Below are 22,588 nucleotides of genomic sequence, written 5' to 3' on the forward strand. Positions count from 1 at the left end.
GAGGTTACTGCTGTCTTTTTGTTTGTCTGTGCCCTGCCCCCAGAGGTGGAGCCTACAGAGGCAGGCAGGCCTCCTTTAGCTGTGGTGGGCTCCACCCAGTTCCAGCTTCCCAGCTGCTTTGTTTACCTAAGCAAGCCTTAGCAATGGCAGGCACCCCTCCCCCAGCCTTGCTGCAGCCTTGCAGTTTGATCTCAGACTGCTGTGCTAGCAATCAGCGTGACTCCGTGGGCCTAGGACCCTCCGAGCTAGGTGTGGGATATAATCTCCTGCTGTGCTGTTATTTTAAGCCCGTTGGAAAAGCGCAGTATTAGGGTGGGAGTGACCCGATTTTCCAGGTGCCGTCTGTCACCCCTTTCTTTGACTAGGAAAGGGAACTCCCTGACTCCTTGCGCTTCCCGAGTGAGGCAATGCCTTGCCCTGCTTAGGCTAGCACACGGTGCGCTGCACCCACTGTCCTGCGCCCACTGTCTGGCACTCCCTAGTGAGATGAACCCGGTACCTTAGATGGAAATGCAGAAATCACCGGTCTTCTGCTTTGCTCATGCTGGGAGCTGTAGACCGGAGCTGTTCCTATTCGGCCATCTTGGCTCCCGCTGCTCTTGGTTTTAAGTTCAAGTTTAAAAGTAATAAGTATTCATATGTTCATTTCCTAAGCCTAGGAGAACTCTGGGATACAAACCAGGGTATTCCAAAATGACCTTGAAGGGACTTTTTTTTTTTAACTGAAACTAATTTCGAGACCTAAATTTCATAGTCAACTTACTGTGCAATTGCACACCAGAACTTATTCCTCCTATCTAACTCTAACTTTGTATCCATTGACCAGTCTCTCATTATCCACCACCAGCCTCTGGTAACTACTATTCTCTTTTCTACTTTTATAAGATCAACTCTTTTAGATGCCACATATGTGTGAGATCATGCAATATTTGTCTTTCTGTTCCTCACTTATTTCACGTCCTCCAGGTTCATCCGTGTTGCAGCAAATGACAGGATTTCATTCTTTTTATGTCTGAATAATATTCTTTTTTGTATATATATATTTTTTTCTTTATCCATTCATCTGCTACCTATTGTATTCTATATTTCAAAATATCTAGAAGGGAGGATTTTGTATGTTCTCACCAAAAAGAAATGATAAATTTTTGAAGTAATGTATATGCTAAATACTCTGATTTGATTATTATACAGTGTATACATATATCAAAACATTATACTGTGCCCCAAAATATATACAATTATGTGTCAATTAAAAACAAACAAAAACACAAAGATTTTTAATATCCTGAATTTCAGATTTTATATATTAAATGCTTTTGAAAGTGTAGTGACTCTGTTCAGAATATTGAAATGCACTGGGGTGATAGCTGTTCTGTGAATAGAAGATGCACATAATGATTACAAGTGCAAATGATGTATTTAAAAACATAAGCAGTTAACAGTGAGACTAAACTGTCTAGTTATCAAAACTTATTCAAACATAAAGTAAATAATAATGTAGCGTTCTTTCACTTTTATAATGAAAGCAAAGTTGACTGTTGTATGATAGAGTATGGTGTTGATTACTGTAGTCCCAGCTACTCAGTAGGCTGAGGCAGGAGGATTGCTCGAGCCTGGGAGGTTGAGGATGCAGTGAGGCTAGCAGCATATGTTATGCTGAAAAATAAATTGAAAAAAGTATCTGTAAAATGAAATTTAAGGAGATAAGAAAGGAATGAATTTGAGATGTTGGAAATTATTGAAATGTAAGATGAGTTTTGCAATTTATGATATATATGATATATCAATAATGTTGTTCTAATAGATCATAAATTGTATTATATCCATCAGTGAATAAACATGCTTAATATATTTATCCCTTTTTAGCTATTACACATTTTTCTATAAAATTCCTTGCAAAGTTATCTATATGTTGTCTCAGTTAACTCTCCATGAAAGAATGGTATGTACTCACCATCTTCTCTCACAAAACCATGCTAGTTAGACTTTTGTCCCACCACTCCACCAAAACAACTCAACTCCAGATCATTTATAACACTCACATTGTCTACTTTAAAACTTAATGTTAAACCCTCATCTTACATGATTTATCAGCAGCTTTTATCATACATAATAGCCACCTCTTTTTTTAAACAATTGTATCACTTATATATTTCCCTTTTTTTTTTTCTTTTAAATTTCTCTGGCTCGTTTCTCTTCCATTGATCAGAACTTTGATTCAAGTATTATCATATATGGTCCATATGATCTTATTTAGTTTCAAGGCTTTAAATATGTTAATGAATCCTGAATTTGTATTTCAAGGCTTGACTTCTACTCTGAACTCCTACTTGGTTATTTAATGCTGTACCTATTCAGCTGGCATGTATATCAGGCATCTTATCCAACATATCTAAAACTGAACACCTTGGCCGTGCACAGTGGCTCACGCCTGTAATCCCAGCACTTTGGGTGGCCAAGGCGGGTGGATCAAGAGATATGCAGTTTTCTCATCTGTAAAATAACTCGATATTACCTATCTTTCTAGGTTTTTGGTAAGTAAAATGGTAAGATCAAGAGATCAAGAGATTGAGACCATCCTGGCCAACATGGTGAAACCCCGTCTCTACTAAAAATACAAAAATTAGCTGAGCGTGGTGGCGCATGTCTGTAGTCCCAGCTACTCAGGAGGCTGAGGCAGGAGAATTGCTTGAACCCGGGAGGCAGAGGTTGCAGTGAGCCAATATCGTGCCACTGCACTCCAGCCTAGGCGACAGAGCGAGACTCTGTCTCAAAAACAAACAAACAACAAAAACAAAAACTGAACACTTTATCTCCCCACCTCGGTCTGTGTTTCTTCTACAGTTTTCATTGTTTTATAATTTCAGCATTTCAGTTATTCTAAATAAAAATTTGGAGTTCTACTTAATTTTACTTTTTCTGAAACTGTATTTTCAATTGAGAAACAGATATCTGTGATTTTATCTTAAAAATATATCCAGAATTTGATTGACTTTTACCACCAGTATTGCAACCGGTCTGGTCCATGATACCATCATCTTTCCCCTAGATTAATAAAATCATATTCTAAGTGCATTTTCTGATTCCATATTCACCTCCATGCCCAATAGTCTGTTTTCCTGTATAGACCTGTGCTGTTCAAAACGGAACTCCAGAGTTGATGGATTCCTTGAAATGAAGTAGTCTGCACTCACTCTGTGTTGTCTGAACTGCAAAGCCAGGCAAATTCCATTATCAGCTGACTCATACATGATCAAGGCTAACGAAAGTTGTGTAAGCCATGCATTCGAGTTATAATTGATTACCAGCTTACTCAAATATGTTGCATGTGTTACTAACCCTACAAAATAAAATCATAGACCTGTGTTACTTTGGTCAGGTCACTTAACAATTCCATATGTAGTTTTCTCATCTGTAAAATAACTCGATATTACCTATTTTTCTAGGTTTTTTGGAGGGTTAAGTAAAATGATAATTTTAAAGCATTTAGTGCGGCACATTAATTACAGATTTACATTATAATTAAATGATGAAAAAAATATATATATATCTGTGAATACCAATAAAATTAGTAGATTAAAGTTGTAAAATTTATCTTAAAGGCTAAAGACAGGTGAAAAAGAATAAATGCATGATCTTGTTACAGTCGATGAGCCTACATTGATACATTGTTATCAACCAGAGTTCATCATTTACATTAGGATTCACACTTTTTGTTGTACATGCTATGGATTGAGATAAATTTAAAATACCATGTGTCTACCATTATAGTATCATACACAGTATATTCCTTGCCCTAAAAATTCTCCATGCTCTGCTTGTTCATCCCTCACTACTGCCTAACCCTTGGCAACCACTGATCTTTTTCTGTACCACAGTTTTTCATTTTCTAGAATATTATGTAGTTTCAATCATACAAAATGTAGCCTCTTAAGATTGGCTTCTTTCATTTAGTTATATGATTTTAAGTTTCTTCCATGTCTTTTCCCTATATGATAGCTCATTTCTTTTTTTTTATTATTATACTTTAAGTTTTAGGGTACATGTGCACAACATGCAGGTTTGTTACGTAAGTATACGTGTGCCATATTGGTGTGCTGCACCGAGTAACTCGTCATTTACATTAGGCATATCTCCTAATGCTATCCCTCCCCCCCTTCCCCCACCCCACGACAGGCCCCGGTGTGTGATGTTACTCTTCCTGTGTCCAAGTGTTCTCATTGTTCAATTCCCACTTATGAGTGAGAACATGCGGTGTTTCGTTTTTTGTTCTTGTGATAGTTTGCTGAGAATGATGGTTTCCAGCTTCATCCATGTCCCTACAAAGGACATGAACTCATCCTTTTTTATGGCTGCATAGTATTCCATGGTGTATATGTGCCACATTTTCTTAATCCAGTCTATCACTAATGGACATTTGGGTTGGTTCCAAGTCTTTACTATTGTGAATAGTGCCGCAATAAACATACGTGTGCATGTGTCTTTATAGCAGAATGATTTATAATCCTTTGGGTATATACCCAGTAACGGGATGGCTGGGTCAAAGGGTATTTCTAGTTCTAGATCCTTGAGGAATCGCCACACTGACTTCCACAATGGTTGAACTAGTTTACAGACCCACCAACAGTGTAAAAGTGTTCCTATTTCTCCACATCCTCTCAAGCACCTGTTGTTTCCTGACTTTTTAATGATCACCATTCCAATTGGTGTGAAGTGATATCTCACTGTGGTTTTGCTTTGCATTTCTCTGATGGCCAGTGATGATGAGCATTTTTTCATGTGTCTGTTGGCTGCATAAATGTCTTCTTTTGAGAAGTGTCTGTTCATATCCTTCGCCCACTTTTTGATGGGGCTGTTTGTTTGTTTTTTTTTTTGTAGATTTGTTTGAGTTCTTTGTAGATTCTGGATATTAGGCCTTTGTCAGATGAGTAGATTGTGAAAATTTTCTCCCATTCTGTGGGTTGCCTGTTCACTCTGATGGTAGTTTCTTTTGCTGTGCAGAACCTCTTGAGTTTAATTAGATCCCATTTGTCAGTTTTGGCTTTTGTTGCCATTGCTTTTGGTGTTTTAGACATGAAGTCCTTGCCTATGCCTATGTCTTGAATGGTATTGCCTAGGTTTTCTTCTAGGGTTTTTATGGTTTTAGGTCTAACATTTAAGTCATTAATCCATCTTGAATTAATTTTTGTATAAGGCATAAGGAAGGGATCCAGTTTCAGCTTTCTACATATGGCTAGCCAGTTTTCCCAGCACCATTTATTAAATAGGGAATCCTTTCCCCATTTCTTGTTTTTGTCAGGTTTGTCAAAGATCAGATGGTTGTAGATGTGTGGTATTATTTCTGAGGGCTCTGTTCTGTTCCATTGGTCTATATCTCTGTTTTGGTACCAGAACCATGCAATGTGCAGAAATCACAAGCATTCTTATACACCAACAAGAGACAAACAGAGAGCCAAATCATGAGTGAACTCCCATTCACAATTGCTTCAAAGAGAATAAAATACCTGGGAATCTAACTTACAAGGGATGTGAAGGAGCTCTTCAAGGAGAACTACAAACCACTGCTCAATGAAATAAAAGAGGATACAAACAAATGGAAGAACATTCCATGCTCATGGATAGGAAGAATCAATATCATGAAAATGGCCATACTGCCCAAGGTAACTTATAGATTCAATGCCATCCCCATCAAGCTACCAATGACTTTCTTCACAGAATTGGAAAAAACTACTTTAAAGTTCATATAGACCCGAAAGAGAGCCTGCATTGCCAAGACAGTCCTAAGCCAAAAGAACAAAGCTGGAGGCATCACGCTACCTGACTTGAAACTACACTACAGGGCTACGATAGCTCATTTCTTTTTAGTACTGAATAATATTCTGTTGTGGATGTACCTGGGATTTTTGAAAATGGTATCCTGTACGTATTTTGGATATTTTCCCCAACTATTTTTAAATAAGTATGAAGGCAAAAACTGTTTTTTTAATTGCACTTTGGCAAAGTTTATCTTTGCAAGACTCTTAAAATGGATATAGTCATCTAAAACTTGGAGTGTCTTATAGATCAGTTGTTTTCATATATACTTTATTTGCTTCTGTATGTTCTATGTGTCATTGAGGAAAATTTCTATCATTTCTTGTCAACTACCACATAAAGTTGATTGTGATTCCTCCACCCATATTCCTTTACAGTTCATATGTAACCTTGGCATAATTTTGGCTGTTTTGAAACTTAGGAATCAGTGCATTGTTTAAGCTGTAGGAAGATATCTTAGTAATTCTTATTGATGTTACTTTTTATTTCCCTGAAAGTCAGGAGAAGGAATATTAGATATGTTTTTGAATAAGCCAGCTTTATGGAAAAAAAATGCTAAGTATTTAAAATGTAATTACACTTTGATTAAAATAAATGAATAAAATCTTATTATATAGATTCGTGGTAAAAGGAAAGTCTTTATATTTGATTAGTGGTGTTTCCTCTATCTTCAGGTATGCCTCCTTTCACCACAAGCTCAAGACTCAAGAAATTTGTACGTATATAGCAGATCTAAGATAAATGAAAATCTGGTCGCAGTTCTATTTATCAAACAAAACACCTATACCTAATTGTCAAGATTGTTTGCTAAGTAAAAATTAATCTGTATTGATGTACCAGAGAATTGGAATAAGGTACAAAAGACTAAAGGGCACCAGAAAAGATGGATTGCTTGAACTGAGATTGGCTTTACTCACACTGCAATGTGTCTTTTGACTGTGTGCATCCTAAGTTGTGAGTGACTGGGACATTTGGAGGTTATGCCGTGGAGTCCTGCTATGCTGTTGACCATCACCATGTATGGTGTTTTGTTGTATGCCGTATATCCCTTTTCATAATGCTCAATAAAATTGGTGTTGGATGAATCCTATTGTCTGTTGCACTTGATTGCTAAATCAAACCCAAGAACATTGCTACAGTTTTACAAGTGTACATCAGGTCGAAAATAAATGAGAATCTGGCCCAGTTACTGATTGATAGACGGAGAAAAAATTGTAAGTTTTTTTTCACTTGTTTTGAATTTAATTCTAATACAAAATTTAACTTAAATCTTAAAAACAAAAAATATTACATGAAACAAAAATAGCTATTAGTAGCAAAAGGTGTGCAGCATATAAAAAGGCAGTATAAATCTAGCTGTTGAAAGATGGGCTGGGAATTCAAAATTTTGCAGTATTACTTATTAGCTGTGTGATTTGGGCCATGTTACCTAACCACTCTATGCCTCAGTTTCTTTATTTGTAAAGTTAGGTTAATAATAATTAATGACATGATGGGACTTTTTGAGAATAAAGTGAGATTTTTATAAAAAGTATATATATAACATTGCTGTGTAAAGTTATCTATTAGCACATGAAATTAAACCTCTCTAAATAATAAGGATTGTAAGCAGGTGATGTAGGATTACAATGGGTAATAAATGACTAATATTAAAAGGTAGGCAATGTGTGTGGGGAATTTATTTTATTCCTTAAATACTTGACTAAATGCAAATACATTTTAAAATCATATTTATTTCTCTAACTTCTATTTAAATGTCAGTATTTTTACCACTTTCTTCTCTGCTTTTCCTCTACTGCTTAAACTTACTCTCTCTAGGACATCTCATTTATGGCTACCATGACCTTAGAAGGTTAAATACTTATCAAAATATGTTCTGTAGCCCAGACTTTTTCCTGAGGACCAGCACCATTTTCCTAATTGACTACCGAAAATTAAAGTCTTAACATTAAACCTTTTGTGTTCACAAGTTCAACATTCATAGCTTTGAAGTCTTTGTGTCCTTACTTTTCCTTAAAATTTATCCTTCTGTGCAGTGTCTTCTAACAAATAAAGTTCTATTCAGGGAGACCTTACTTTTAAAACTTCCATTAACTTGTCATTATCTCAAATTACTGTGTTTAGCAGACATTAAAGGATCTTGGAAACATGGTGTGTGTCACTTTCCCAGCTTCATATTTCATCTTTCCCCATTAGTCTAATGTTCCAACCACAATGCCCGTCTTAGCATCTCGTAATTTCTCATGTGCTTCTGTATACCTATTAGAGGTTCTCTCATTCTCTAGTTCTTGGATTGTCCAAGACTACTCATGCCCTAGTTCAAATACTAATGCCATGCCCTCACCTATAAAGTGTAGGACCTCTTAGGCAGAGACTGTGCCCCTGTAACACCCTTTGCACAATACTGGTATACTGGTGTAAGCCTCTTTGCCCTTGATGTTCTGAAAGATACTGAGTTGCATTTCTCTCTCTCATGAGGTTGCAGCTTTGTGAAGTCAGGAACTGTGTCTTTTTCTCAGTTATAATATATTAGTTCATGGAAAAATCACTGTATTGGATTTTTAAAGTTGAACCAATGAAACAATTAAGCAATGGAAGTTGAAGAGAAATAAATCATCATTATTCATGGGTGGTAATCTTCCAAAGATACTCTTTTGCTTAATATCTAATTATTTGTTAACTCTTGAGCCTCCTGATTCTATAAAATTATTTTTGAGTGTTGCTATTGTAGTGTATATGTCCAAGTTCAACTTCATCCACTTTTTATTACTGTTTGTATTTATATTGCTATATACACATCATAATTGCCTTTTCCATGTTGATATGCCAGTTTTTTACTAGTGTCTATTATGTCTACCTAGATCTTCATTATTGAACATTTAAATGTTTTTTATTGGAATTTGTTATCTAAGAGAATTAGTGATGGCTAATCATAATTTTCTTCTCATTTAACCCAGCTTTTTCTTTTATTCTTTTTCTGTTTATTGTTTATGAATTATATTTAGTGTTGACTTCTTTGCTTTTTTTTTACTTAGTTAAGAACTGATATTCAGCGTTGGCAGTGGAATTATGATAGTAAAAATAATTCTTATTCCTTAGTTGCTTCACTGTTACAGATTTTATTTTCAAGAAAAGAATAATTGAGAAACTGTCTAGTAGAAAGTAGGTTTTCTCCAGCATGGTCAGTAATATTCTGCCAACCAGAGACTAGCCCATAGTCTATACTTTTTTATACTGTATTACTTTTTACCTATCACTTGATTTAATTCTTTGTTCTAACATACTTTATACCATATTAGTGACATAAAGAAATCAAAATATGCCTTTGTTAAGTTTTTTATTTTTGTATTGAAGATAAAGTTATTTAATCAATCAGTAGCATTTATAAAGTAATCATTACTAACAACTCAGTTATTATTGCCTCCTAACTAAAAAGGCACGTAACTCTTTGCTAAGAGAATTCAAGTATTTGAGAGACAATCTTTGACATCAAGATGCTGATGATATATTTTCTATTAAGAATATAAACTCTATAAATCATCATCATCATCATAATTCTGGTTTACTAGTATCTTATTTTATAGTTTATTAATTATCTTCACTTGTGGAGATATGTCATAACATCTTCATAATAACTCGAGGGAGCCATATTATGTCCTTTATGGTCCAATATAGACCTGAAAATCAGATAAATTTAAGCAACTAATCTGATTTTTATACAAATCAGAGTGCCGAGGCTGTGGATTAAATCATATCTTTTGATTGAAATGTCCAAGTTATATTATGCAGTTTCTTCTTTATTTATAAAACCAGAGGACAATACACTATAGAGTATGTTATTTATGCAAACTGAATATCTTAGGTCATATATTATAGCAGTTGAGAGAAAGAAGCTATCTCTGTGGCCTGCAGTAGTCATGAAAATTAGCATGGTCTCCAGGAAGGAAGAAAGATAGGAGTTAAGGAGTTGACTTACTGTTTCTCAGCAACCTAGGAAACTATGGTGTACTTGGTTTGATATAAGGACAGACTAGGTGGGTATACTTAATCTTGACAGTCAAGGTTCTTGGAAAATTTAATTATTTCTCATCACTCAGCCTGGGTACTTGTCCTCTTGTTCTCCATTGTACTAGGAAGAGACCATCATCATTCAGCATTCCTCACTACACCCATCCAGACAAGAAGGTGAGCTACTTGTGGTCTGACGCGTGTTAAATAGCTTGATAAGCACTGCCTAGTACAGTGCCTAGCACCGAATAGCTGTTTTCTAAACTTACTTTCTGCTATAGTTTGGATGTGTCTTGTTCCCACTGAAACTCATGTTGCAATGTAATTGCCAATGTAATGGTATTGTGAGGTGGTAGGGCCTTTAAGAGGTGTTTGGATCGTGAAGGCTTTACCCTCATGAAGGGTTTAGTGCAGTTCTCACAGGGCTAGGTTAGTTCTTGTGGTGCTGAGTTAGTTCTTGTGAGAGTAGGTTATTATAAAGAGGTTTGGCCCTCTTCGTTTCTCTTTTGCTTGTGCTTCTTGCCTTTCTGCCATGTTATAACTCAGTATGAAAGATTTTACCAGATGTTGCTTCCATGCTCCAAAATTGTGAGCAAAATAAAGTTATTTTCTTATAAATTATCCTGTCTCAATATTGTTATAGCAACTGAAAATGGACTTTCTGTTACCCAGTGTTAACATTATTTGACCTTTGCCAGATGCATAGTTTGCAAAAGTTTTCTCCCATTTTGTAGGTTGTCTATTTACTCGGTTGATAGTTTCTTTTGACGGGAAATCAAATACTGCATGTTGTCACTTACAATTGGGAGCAAAATGATAAGAACACATGGACACATAGAGGGGAACAACACTGTAGTATGCCACAGTGTCTGTCTGTGGAGGGTGGGAGGAGGGAGAGGATTAGGAAAAACAACTAAAGGGTATTAGGCTTAATACCTGGGTGATGAAATAATCTGTTCAACAAACCCCCGTGACACGAGTTTACCTGTGTAACAAACCTGCACAAGTACCCCTAAATTTAAAGTAAAAGTTTTTAAAAAATTAAAACATTTAACACAAAGAAATAACCAAAAAAGAACAATATTTGAATTCAAGATTTCCTGGGTTTTTTATAGCCTATGTTTTTCTCATATATCATGATGCTAAGTTAGGTTTTCCATCCTGTATAGTATGCTAACCAAGGAGTTTATTTTTTTAATGAGAAGTTAATTTGGTAATTCAATTTAGTATTTATATTGTTAAAAATAAAGATGAAAAATGTATATTTCTAATTATGTGATCACTGTCTTTTGAGATGTTTTATTTGGAAATTCACTTAGTGTTTGTATTATTGAAAGTGGCAAGTCAATTGCCAGAATTGTATTTGTTTCTAGTTTAAAAACCCAATATACATATTATCACCGTTCCTTTTTCCAGCCGTTTAAAATTGCCTGGAATTTTAAAATTACACAAATAGTACATTGTAGCACAAAAATACTCCAATAATACAAAACTCCATGAAGTAAAGTGTTAAAGTTTATGGCTCCTGCATACATTTATAGAAGAAACTTGACTTTTCTCTTTCCAAGTCTTCTTTTTAAACAAAAGCCAATTCTACACTCTTTTCTGGTGTTAAAGTTTGGTATCTGTCTTTCAGACCCTTTTTAAAAGATAAAAATGGGCCAGTTCTACACATTTTTCTGCATATTGCTTTTATCTCACCTGAGAGACAACCATCTATATCACCATATGCTGATCTATCCATGTTTGACATTCCTTCTTTCTCTTATACCCCATATTCAAACCATTAGCAAATCCTGTCCAGTGAATCTTAAAATGGAATTGTTATCTGTACTGCTGCTCTTCAAATCCAGGCTTTGTCTCCTTTCCCCTGGACTATTTCAATAACTTTTTTTTTTTTTGAGACATGGTCTGACTCTGTCACTCAGGCTGGAGTGCAGTGGCGCAATCTCAGCTCACTGCAACCTCTGCCTGCTGCACTTAAGGGATACTCCCACCTCAGCCTCCTGTGTAGCTGGGACTACAGGCATGTGCCACCACACCTGGCTTATTTTTTTTGTTTTTTGTAAAGATGAAGTCTTGCTGTGTTGCCTAGGCTGGTCTCAAACTCCTGGGCTCAAGTAATCCACCTGCCTCTACGTCCCAAAGTGCTGGGATTACGGGTGTGAGCCACCACACCCAGCCTTCAGTAGCATCTTAACCGCTGTCCCTTCCTCACTTGCCTCAAGACAGCCAGCGGAATGACCCACCTAAATTGTAAGCCAGATCTTGCCATTCCTCATGGCAAAAACTCTACAGTGGTTCAACGTCTTATTAAGAATAAAAGCCAAAATATTCTCAAAAGCCTGCCACAGCTTTGGTGATTTTCCCCAATATCTCTTTGAACTCAGTTCTTAACCACTTCCTCTCTTGCACACTGAGCCCTTGTCACACTGGCCCCTTGCTGTTTATCATATAAGCTGTGCTTGCTCCCAAGTTATGTTTTTTGATCCTACTCTTTCCTCTTCTTTTCATGCTCTTACCCCAGATTTTTCTGTGGCTTGCACCTCAGTCAGGTTTCAAATATCACTACACAGGGAGAAGTGCTTCCTGATTATCTCACATAAAGAACAACTCCCTCATTCACTCATGGCTGTTTACCTAACCTCACTTTATATTTCTTTAGAGCACTTTTCACCAATGATAGTTTTATAAGTTTTAAAAATCCTTTTCTTTCCAAACAAGCTATAACCAAATACAAGTTTGTGAAAACAGGAATTAGTCTTAAATTTTTACTGGTGTGCCTTTTTTTTTTTTTTTTTTTTTTTTTTTTTTTGAGACGGAGTCTCGCTCTGTCGCCCAGGCCGGACTGCGGACTGCAGTGGCGCAATCTCGGCTCACTGCAAGCTCCGCTTCCCGGGTTCACGCCATTCTCCTGCCTCAGCCTCCCGAGTAGCTGGACTGGTGTGCCTTCTACATCTAGAATGCTATCTGGCACATAACAGGTTCTTAATATTTATTAAGTAAATTATTGAATGATTTGATTAATGAGCTACATTAACATCTGTAATATATTTCAAAGTATAGATAAAACATAATTTATCTATTTACTTCTTGGAGATCTTTGTCTCTAATATTTCACTGAGCTTTACAGAGCTAGAACAGTGCTCAGTGAACATTCTTGTGATGTATTTATGTAGAACATGTTTCTAATAGTAGAAATGCTGTATCAAAGAATATGAAAATTTTAAATTTGATATGTGCTGACATGGTGCCCTCCAAAAAGACACATCACATGTGTCTTTACATTAATGGTGTTTTTTGTCTATGGACATATTATATCTCTTTTCATTTATTTGGATTTCCATATAGTTTAACATGAATTTTATTTGTATATGTGCATAGACTTGATATTTACTCATGCTATAGCTTTTCAGTATCCATGCAAGGGATATTTATGGTTTTCATTAATGGATATCTTCTAAGGAAGCAGAGGGAAACAGTTTTTGGTATATGAAGAATTTCCACTAAAGTTACAGAAATTAGGTTTGTTTCTGTTTAATATTTGTACTCTTAGTGTTTTCTTAATTCATTTTTGGTAAATTTCAAGACTAATGGCAAAAAATATGTTATAAAAAAAGATACTGTGCTGATGCATTTGCAAAAGCAGACAGAAATTTAAACATAAAGGTTGAGGTTGGTACTGTTTATTGAATGATCTTTATTTTAACCTTCACGGATGGAATTCAATGATTTAAAAATATATATAATGAACAAAAACTCATTATCCATGTCAGTAAGCCTAATATTTCCTACCTTCTAACACATTATGCTAATAACTTTTCAGATGAATGCATTTTAATTAAAAACAGTTGTCAGTTGAAAAGCATTACTCACAAGTAGGAACAAATACAAACTATGTTTTTTGTGATATGAAAAATGCTTTGAAGAAATCAACTGAGAAATCATTTGTTGGTAGCTCTGAGGGATAAAAAATGTTTGGAACACATCCTTTTTTATACTTATGTGAATTTATATTCAGTACGAAATGGAATAAACATGCTCTCTGAATTCCTGAGTAAATATTTCAGCAGATCAGTGTCAAAAGGTTGCTTAATTGAAAAATGTTGCAGTGTAAAAAGAACATGAGACGAAATTTTAGAGCATCATTTAGTAAGTATGAATCTCTTCATAAGTATATTCCTAAGCTTTCTGAAAAAGTAACAATCCATACACATAGAGATTGGTAATTAAAAGAAAATTCTCCCTTCATATTCTCCCCTCTTCCAGTAAGTTGTAGAGAAGGCACTCATAAGGGATACATAGGTCATATTAACTAATCCTGATGGATGAATTAGAAAGTTTAAGTGTGCCCAGATAGCTATGATCCATTGAATTGACTAAGATAATGTTAGTCCAGCAGAATTCAAATGGAAACAATAGCACACTTACCCCAAAGCTGGAATACAACTGTCAGGTTTTTGAGCTTTTGTGTGGAGAACTGATGGACTCAGCTGGTATTTTCATTACATCTAATTAAAGGTTATGACTTTGGAATAAAAAGACGATATGTGAAGTGAACAGCATGCTATAGAGCTTCAAATTCCTTAAAGACAGGCTCCTGTCAAGCTAGGAGAGACATTTTACAAAGATCAGGAAGCGTTTATTTGGCAAGAGAAGTTGATCAGAAAGGCATTAAAATAAAATTTAATAAAAAGAGAAAAAGTTGTCCCAATACACAAACCCTGAGACAGAAGAGAAAAATAAAATGTATAAAAAATGTAGGCTGGGTGCAGTGGTTCAGGCCTGTAATCCCAGGACTTTGTGGGGCTGAGGCGGGTGGATCACGAGGTCCGGAGTTCGAGACCAGCCTGGCCAAGATGGTGAAACCCTGTCTCTACTTAAAATACAAAAATTAGTTGGGTGTGGTGATACGTGCCTGTAGTCCCAGATACTCGGGAGGCTGAGGCAGGAGAATCGCTTGAACCCAGGAGGCAGAGGTTGCAGTGAGCCAAGATTGCACCACTGCACTCCAGCCTGGGTGACAAGAGTGAAACTTGTCTCAAAAAAAAAAAAAAAAATCTGAACCACAGTGATGAGAAAAATTAAAATTGGATGAGCTAAAATATTTACAGACTTAACTGAAAGTATATTGAACAAAGCAGGAATGTGCTGAGTGATTCAGAGACTTTTAAAATAAGTGTTTACAAGGAATCATTGAAGAAAATTTGGATAAGAGTAATGGCATTAGTGAATCAAAATATGAGATCCAAAGAAGAGGGATATCTACAAAGTTGCTGAGAATTTGAAGATAAAAAGGAGAAAATAAGTGTTGACAGTGTTGCATGGCTAAAGATATAACTATGGTAGACAGACGTTCTCAATTTAATTTTTAAAATTTGGACAAAATAAAGATACAAAATGGGACTTCTCATATCTGGAAACCTTTTTATATATGCAGAAGCAAGCTTTACTTAGTTTTAATAAAACTTTTCAATTTCACAATGTAGATAATTTGTAACTGGGAATATATCAGAGACTCAGAGAATCTTGTAACTGACAAGTATACTAGAAGTTATTAAATTTCAATCAGCTGTTAATTTCTGTCAACTTAGCCCTGATTGGTGTTGTGAAAATAATAGAATCCTTGAGAGTACATAATCAACTCACATTGGAGTTCTCAGAAGTTAAGAAAACAAGTGGGCTAGGAAAAGTAATAATTTAATTCTGTTAATTTTTAGTTAGCTTGAATAAAGAGAGAGATTCTAATGACCCATGACCCACATGTATTGAAAACATGTTGTTATATGTTTGTTTTTACTTATTTGGCATTCCTTTTTTATTGCCAAATACTATTCAATTATATGACTGTATTACATTTTATTTATGCATTCATCAGGTGATCATATTGGGTTGTTTTCACTACATGTGGAAACTGAAATATTTGACCAAAAGACGTAGAGAAAATGTGGTAAAGTTGCACCTCATAGCAACTAGCTTAAAAGAGTTCCTGAAATCTCAGCAGTGGGAGTTTGTTGGGCTGTACTTTGTATTTTCCAAAAACGTGACTCAACTACTCATTGAATATTAGATTCTTTCTCCATGCTCTACTGTTGTGTCTTGACCAGCCTGGTTGACATGGTGAAACCCCATCTCTACTAAAAATACAAAATTAGCCAGGCGTGGCGGGGCATGCCTGTATTCCCAGCTACTTGGGTGGCTGAGGCAGTAGAATCACTTGAACCCGGGAGGCGGAGGTTGCAGTGAGCCGGTACCCCGCCATTGCACTCCAGCCTGGATGACAAAAGCGAAACTCTGTCCCTAAAGAAAAAAAAAAAAAAGAACTTGACTTTCAGTTCTGCCATTTGCTAATTCTCTGACTTTGGGATGTTAGCTCAACTTTCGTAAAACTCAGTCTCCTTATATGTAAAATGTGAATAATAATATTACCTACCTCATAGGATTTTTGTGAGAGCTAAAGGTTATATTGCATGTAAATCTCTAGTACAGTGGTTTTATTCATTCAATAAATACTATTAATAATATTGATTACAATAATAGTCAATGATTTTCATTTACTTGCACTGGTTATTTGCATGGTGTTCTTATTGTTAGAGCTTTTATATCACCCCACAGAACCTCTGTACCCATTAACAGTCCTTCATTCCTCCCATCTCAAGAACTAGACAAACGGTAATCTACTTTCTGTTTTTATAGATTTACCTATAGTTGGCATTTTGTATAAATGGAATCATGCAATATATGTGGTCTTTTGAGTCTGGCTCTTCCACTTAGCGTGGAACTCACCCATGTTGATGAGAGATTCTTTCTACTTAGGACTCACTCATGTTATTGAGTGATTCTTTTTATTGTTTAGTATTCCTTTTTATTCCCGAATACTATTCAATTGTATGAATATATCACATTTTATTTATGCATTCATCAGTTGATGACATTGAGTTGTTTTCACTTTTTTCTAGTATGAGTAATGCCGCTGTGAACATTCATGTACAAGTTTTTGTAAAGCGTATGTTTTAAATTCTCTTGAGTATATACCTAAGAATGGAATGCTGGGTCATTTGGTAACTCTATGTTCAACATTTGAAAAAATTTCCTCTGTTTTCTAAAGTGACTGTGCCAGTTTACATTCCCACCAGAAATGCTTGAGTGTTCCAATTGCTCCACATTTTCACCAATACTTGTTTATTGTCTGGTGTTTGTTTGTAGGCATCCTAGTAAGCGTGGAGTGGTTTTATATTTTGGTTTTGATTTGTGTTTCCCTAATGGCTAATGGTGTTGATAGCTTTTCATATGTTTATTAGCCATTTGTCTATTTTCTTTAGAGAAATAGCTATTCAAATTATTTGCCCATGTTAAAATTGGGTTATTTTTATTTTTGTTGTCTAGTTGGCAGAATACTTATATATTCTGGATACAAGTCCTTTATCAAATATATGAATAACAATTTTTTTTTCTATTCTGTAGGTTGTTACTTTCTTCATGGTATAATTTGAAGCACAGATATTTTTACTTTTAAAGTGTAATTAATCTATTTTTATTATAGTGTTTTCCTTTTGATGTCATATCTAAGAAATCAATGACTAATTCCAAGTGACAAAGATTTACTCCCATAAATTCTTTTAAGATTTTTATAGTTTAGCTTTTATATTTAAGTCTATGAACCATTTTTCATTAATTTTTGTGTATTGTGTAAGGAAGGGGTCTGACTCATTTTTGTGCATGTGGATATCCAGCTGTCTTGTTTTGTTTTTCAGTAATAAATACATTGCTCATGAAACAGAAAAACAAAAAAAATCAAAACGAAACATAGAAAAAGACAAAAAGGGAACCACTTCTGCTTGGAGAGAATAGAGAAAATTTACTTAATATGTAATATTTGAAGTATTTGAAAGTTTCCCAAAATGTGAATAGAATTGGGATGAGTAGAGAAAAATATGAGGGCAAGAAAATTATAGGCATAGCTGGAAAAGAGAAAGTGCCAAAAAGTTAAAATAACTATTTCATTTTGGCAATAATATACTTTACAGAGAACCTGGAACCTAACCATAAACACACCCTGAGAAAGTGATGCAAGTACGAGTAATGTCTTTGAGGAGTGCCTCAGAGTTATTTTACCCTGGAGGCAAATGAGCTGGTGTATTTGTGAACCAGTTCTTTAGAGTACTTTGGTAAGGACTATTTTGAGGTATGTGGCCTACATTTAGTTGATGTGCTCAGGGTCTGAGATCTCATGCAGAGTGGAAAGTGGTCTTGGAGAATGATTTTTTCTTTATTGGAGGTGAGAGCCATTAATGGGTTTGAAGTCAGTATCCTCATCTTTCTCTCTTATTTCTGGGCATGTCATGATCTGTTAGCCGGTTCCAGAGATCTCTGTGCCTTAGTACTCCCTGGTTGCCACTCAAACTTGGCTTCCCGTTTTGCCACTTTTGGCAATTGCATCAACCTTCCCTCTTATAGTTAAGTGTTGCCATCTGGCCTCTGCTATTCTTAAACCTCATCATTTCTACTGAAACTAGGGAACGATTTTATAAGCAGATCCTACCCCAATCTTCAAATATAGTCTACAAAGTACAAAAAAGACTGAGTTTTCATGATGGAGTGTTCTCATTAGCACATTTATCTTTTGCTTTAAGGAAGAGTTTGTCTTTAGGACCATCACAGGAACATAGCCAGCTGGTGGATTCTCTAGTGTTGTTTAATAAATCCATGTCACTATGTCTTTGAATCTTTTGACACCTTCATCAAAACTTTATACAGGTATTTTTTAACTCTTTTATTCTAGGTTGTTATTTTATCTACATACTTCCAAGAAGCATGCTTATAGTATATCATAGCTGATTTCAGCTGCTGTTAAATTCTGAGTCATAGGTGAATAATCTCATATCAATCGACTCTGTTTTACCTACCTTCTATCCTTCTCTCCCTTTCCACTAGTCTTGAGATCCATTCCCAAGCATGGTTTCACAGTTCTTGCCAGTTCATATTAGCCAGGCCTTGCAGGTCTTTTGATGAATAATCCCTTCCCTTACAATGAAGGGAGAAAACTTGTATAGCTGGATTAAACTGAGAATTGACTGTAATGGTTGACCTAGAAGTATTAAGAAGAGAGGGAAGGAAGAGCTTGAAGAGGGCAGGTTTCATCTTGCCAGACATCTGAGGTAAGGCCTCTGAATGCCCCTCAGGCAAAGGGAGGCTACTGTCCTTTAGCAAGAGTGATTGAGCCACTTTTGTAGGCCCACAGACAGGTTTTAGGGAAATCTGGGGCTCAAGTTCTCAAATGTATCTATTCATCTCTATTCTATAACTTAGAACCTTATCCATCTGTCACTTACTTAAGAGATACAGTGATACTGCAAATTCATTCTTCTTTACAGTTTGGTTCATTGCACAGTCAGATCCTGGTCTTGGTTTGCATTCCTGTTTGTCTTTTGGGTGCAGGAGAAAAGTGTCTTTATAGATGCTATTATGAAAGCTTTGTATTTCACACCATACTCTGAGTTGGAGGTTGGCTAAATTGAGTGTGTCATTTTTTACTTCGCTTAATAAATTGATGGCACTTAACAATAACCACTGTCTTTATAATTTCCTTTGCTATAGAAGAATAACTTTCTCCAATCCTAGATATTTTGCATAAACTAGCACAGCCCTTCTACCTGTGTGATACACTTCAGTTTACTACAGGTAAGAATGTTGGCAATTGAGATACTTCAGGATGTTAGCCTATCCACAATCCTACTTACCACCAGCAGTGGAGTCCTTGTTATCATTTGGCCAGTGAGTAATACAAGCACTAGGATGTCTGCTTCCTAGAATAATTTTCATACCAATTGTTTTAGTTGCAGTTTCCCCATAGCTGATTTTGAGATAGGAATTTTAAGTGCAGGTAGTTTATTTGGGAGATTCAGGGAGCATGGGTTGGGGAGGGGAAGTGATACAGAAAAAGGATGACTGCAGTAAAGGGTGCTTTATTAAGCTACTTAACACCATTGATAAGTGGAGCCTAATCCTACCAGGACATTTGAGGAAATCACATAAAACACGTCTCATGTACTAAATTCCAGGAATTATTTGCTGAGGGCTTTTCCTCTAGGGATGTTGATTCCTCAGCACTTTCTGACCTGATGTGTACACAGACAGAGAAACCTTCTGCAGTTTTGTTGGAGACAAAACCCAGCCTTCACACACAGAGCTGATGTTAGAGCATCCTGAAAGGTCTAAGGAAATGGGCAGAGCTTTGATGGCATCTCCCACAGAACAGTGAAATGAAAGTTAATTGGTGTCAGACCATGGAGAGCATTGAATGCCATTCAAGGAAGTATTTAGACCTGATATTCTCTAAAGCAGAAATGTAACATGATAAGAATTGTGCTTTAGGATAGTTACCCCAAAGTATTGTGTAGAATGGATTAGAGAACAGAAGCTAGAGTTGAGAGTGTCATGGAGGAGGAATAACAATGATGATCTTCATCCTGTTTCCAGTTCTCACTGGGAATTGCTCCCAGTTCTAATACTAAACCCACTTTTAGACGGCCTAACTAGATAACATTCTGAGCCCACTCCATCAAGAGAATTTCAGATAAAGAGATTCCATTTTCAAAAGAATTGAGAATTTAGTCAGTCAGAAAATTTGCACTGTCCCTTTTAAGCTTAATTTTTTTTTTTAGCTAAAACAAATTAGCCTTATTTGCTCAGAAACAGCCTTATATAAAGAGAACCAACATTGACCTTGCCTGTGCTTGCTAATTTACCATACTTGTTTATTCACCTCTAAGTGCCCTTTGAATCCCATTTAGTAATTCATCATTCTTGATAGTAGTTTACCAAAGACAAAGGAATAGAAATTAGCTGAGTAAGAGAAAAACAAATGAAAAGGAGGGAGCATTTCAGGCACGGTGGCTCAACACCTGTAATCTCAGCACCTTGGGAGTCTGAGGCTTGCGGATCGCTTGAGCCCAGGAGTTTGAGACCAGCATGGGAAACATGGTGAAACCCTGTCTCTACAAAAAATACAAAAATTAGCTGGGCATAGTGGCATGTGCCTGTAGTCCCAGCTACTTGGGAGACTGAGACAGGGGGATTGGAGAATCGCTTGAGCTCAGGATGCGGAGGTTGCAGTGAGCTGTGATAGTGCCATTGCACTCCAGCCTGGATGACAGAGTGAAACTGCATCCAAAAAAAAAAAAAAAAAAGAGGGGCACTAAAGAGAGCACTTTTCTGAATAATCCCAAACCAACTTAAAAGGGTAAAAACTAGGCAAAGAAAACGTTTTCATTTGCTCAGCACTAATCTAGTAATAATGCGTTAGTTTGTCATTTTCACATAGAACACCAATAAACCAAAACAAATTAGGCTAACTTGGATTTCCATCCCCTCATGCACAAATTTAATCCCCTACAGATCTTTAGCCATATTTCTGGGACTTATAGTCAAAACCCCTCTTCTTTTCACCTTTCCAATATTGAGGACTTTGTTACTGGGTCAACTGTCAATAGCCTTTCTTTTTTATTTTGGAGAAATTCTCTATAAATGTATGCTTTTTATTGTTACATAATTCAATGCAAAGACTTCTGTAGGGTTTAGCAGTTTACAATATATGGCTGGGTATTTCCATATCTACAGTGGAGGCAACTTGAGTCCATTTCCAGAAAACTCATCATCTGTCATGCAGTGGAGCTCTGTTGTCTCCTGCTAATTAAACAAAAGTGAACAGATATGCCAGAATACAAAGTGGTGGGAATAAATACTGTGGTTTCAGTTGTGATCTCTGCTACACATGTTTATATAAAGTAAATAACATTTGCGGTAATCAGTTTTTATAAAACTCTGGCTTTGAGTAAAATAATAATTATATTTCAAAGATGCTATAAACCTATTCTTCAATTTGCCACAATGAGAAGGAAGTTCAGTCTTTTCATGTGCCTTTATTCCAGACATCCAAATCTCTAGAATGGTTTATTTATGTATAAGAAGTAAGATCCAGTAGTCTTTTTAAAATTAAAAATACACATTTTAAAATTAAAAATAATATATTTTTAATATTTGTGGGTCCTAATAGGTTTATATATTATGGGTACATGAGATACTTTGACATGGGTATGTAATGCATAGTAATCACATCATGGTAGATGGGGTATCCATCCACCCCCTCAGGCGTTTGTCTTTTGTGTTTCAAGCAATCCAAGTATGCTCATTCGTTATTTTAAGATGTACAATTATTATTGAAGATCCAGTAGTCTTGCCATTCTGCAGAAAAGAGGTGGCCCCTGAGGCTGGAAGGCCCAATCACAGCAGCCTGTTAAAACTGGTTGATTATTTCAGTGCCACATTATTATCATCGGTCTATGCAAGTCCTCTCTTGCCTTTATTTATTATTTAATACTATTTCCTACTCACATTCTTCTTTGTTCATCTTAGACAACTGTTCTATTTTGTTTGAGGGGGAAACTTTAATTTGTATGTATTATTAAACAATGTGAATTGTTTTGTGACTGTGTTGTTTTGGTTTTTATAGATAACATTGTATCATAGATCTGATTTTGATCCTTACTATTTTTTTCATCATCTCTTTGTTATACGATCTGTGTTTGTTGCTAGGAGTACATTGACTGTTTTAGCACTGATTGATGCATACGTTTCACTGTTTAGATCCACTATATTTTATTTATCCCTAATGATTATCTCCAATTTCCAGTTACTACAAAACATGCTCTGATGAATGTACTTATCCGTTTCCAGTTATAGACTTGCTAATTATTTCCCTGGGATA

General features: G+C 35.8%; 1 protein-coding gene across 14 annotated transcripts in view; it reads left to right on the forward strand.

Annotated features, from left to right (window-relative positions):
* Positions 1–22,588, forward strand: part of EPHA6 (EPH receptor A6) — a 946,939-nt gene that overhangs the window by 127,574 nt on the left and 796,777 nt on the right. The window contains exon 3 of one of the 14 annotated variants that reach the window (XM_017006211.2): positions 6,489–6,529. The exons of the other annotated variants lie outside the window; for them this stretch is intronic. Within the exon in view, the coding sequence (XP_016861700.1) occupies positions 6,489–6,529 (41 nt within the window). The remainder of the gene's footprint in view (positions 1–6,488; positions 6,530–22,588) is intronic. 14 annotated transcript variants of the gene reach the window in all.

This window comes from Homo sapiens, chromosome 3 (assembly GCF_000001405.40).
Source record: "Homo sapiens chromosome 3, GRCh38.p14 Primary Assembly".
NCBI classification, from domain to species: domain Eukaryota; kingdom Metazoa; phylum Chordata; class Mammalia; order Primates; family Hominidae; genus Homo; species Homo sapiens.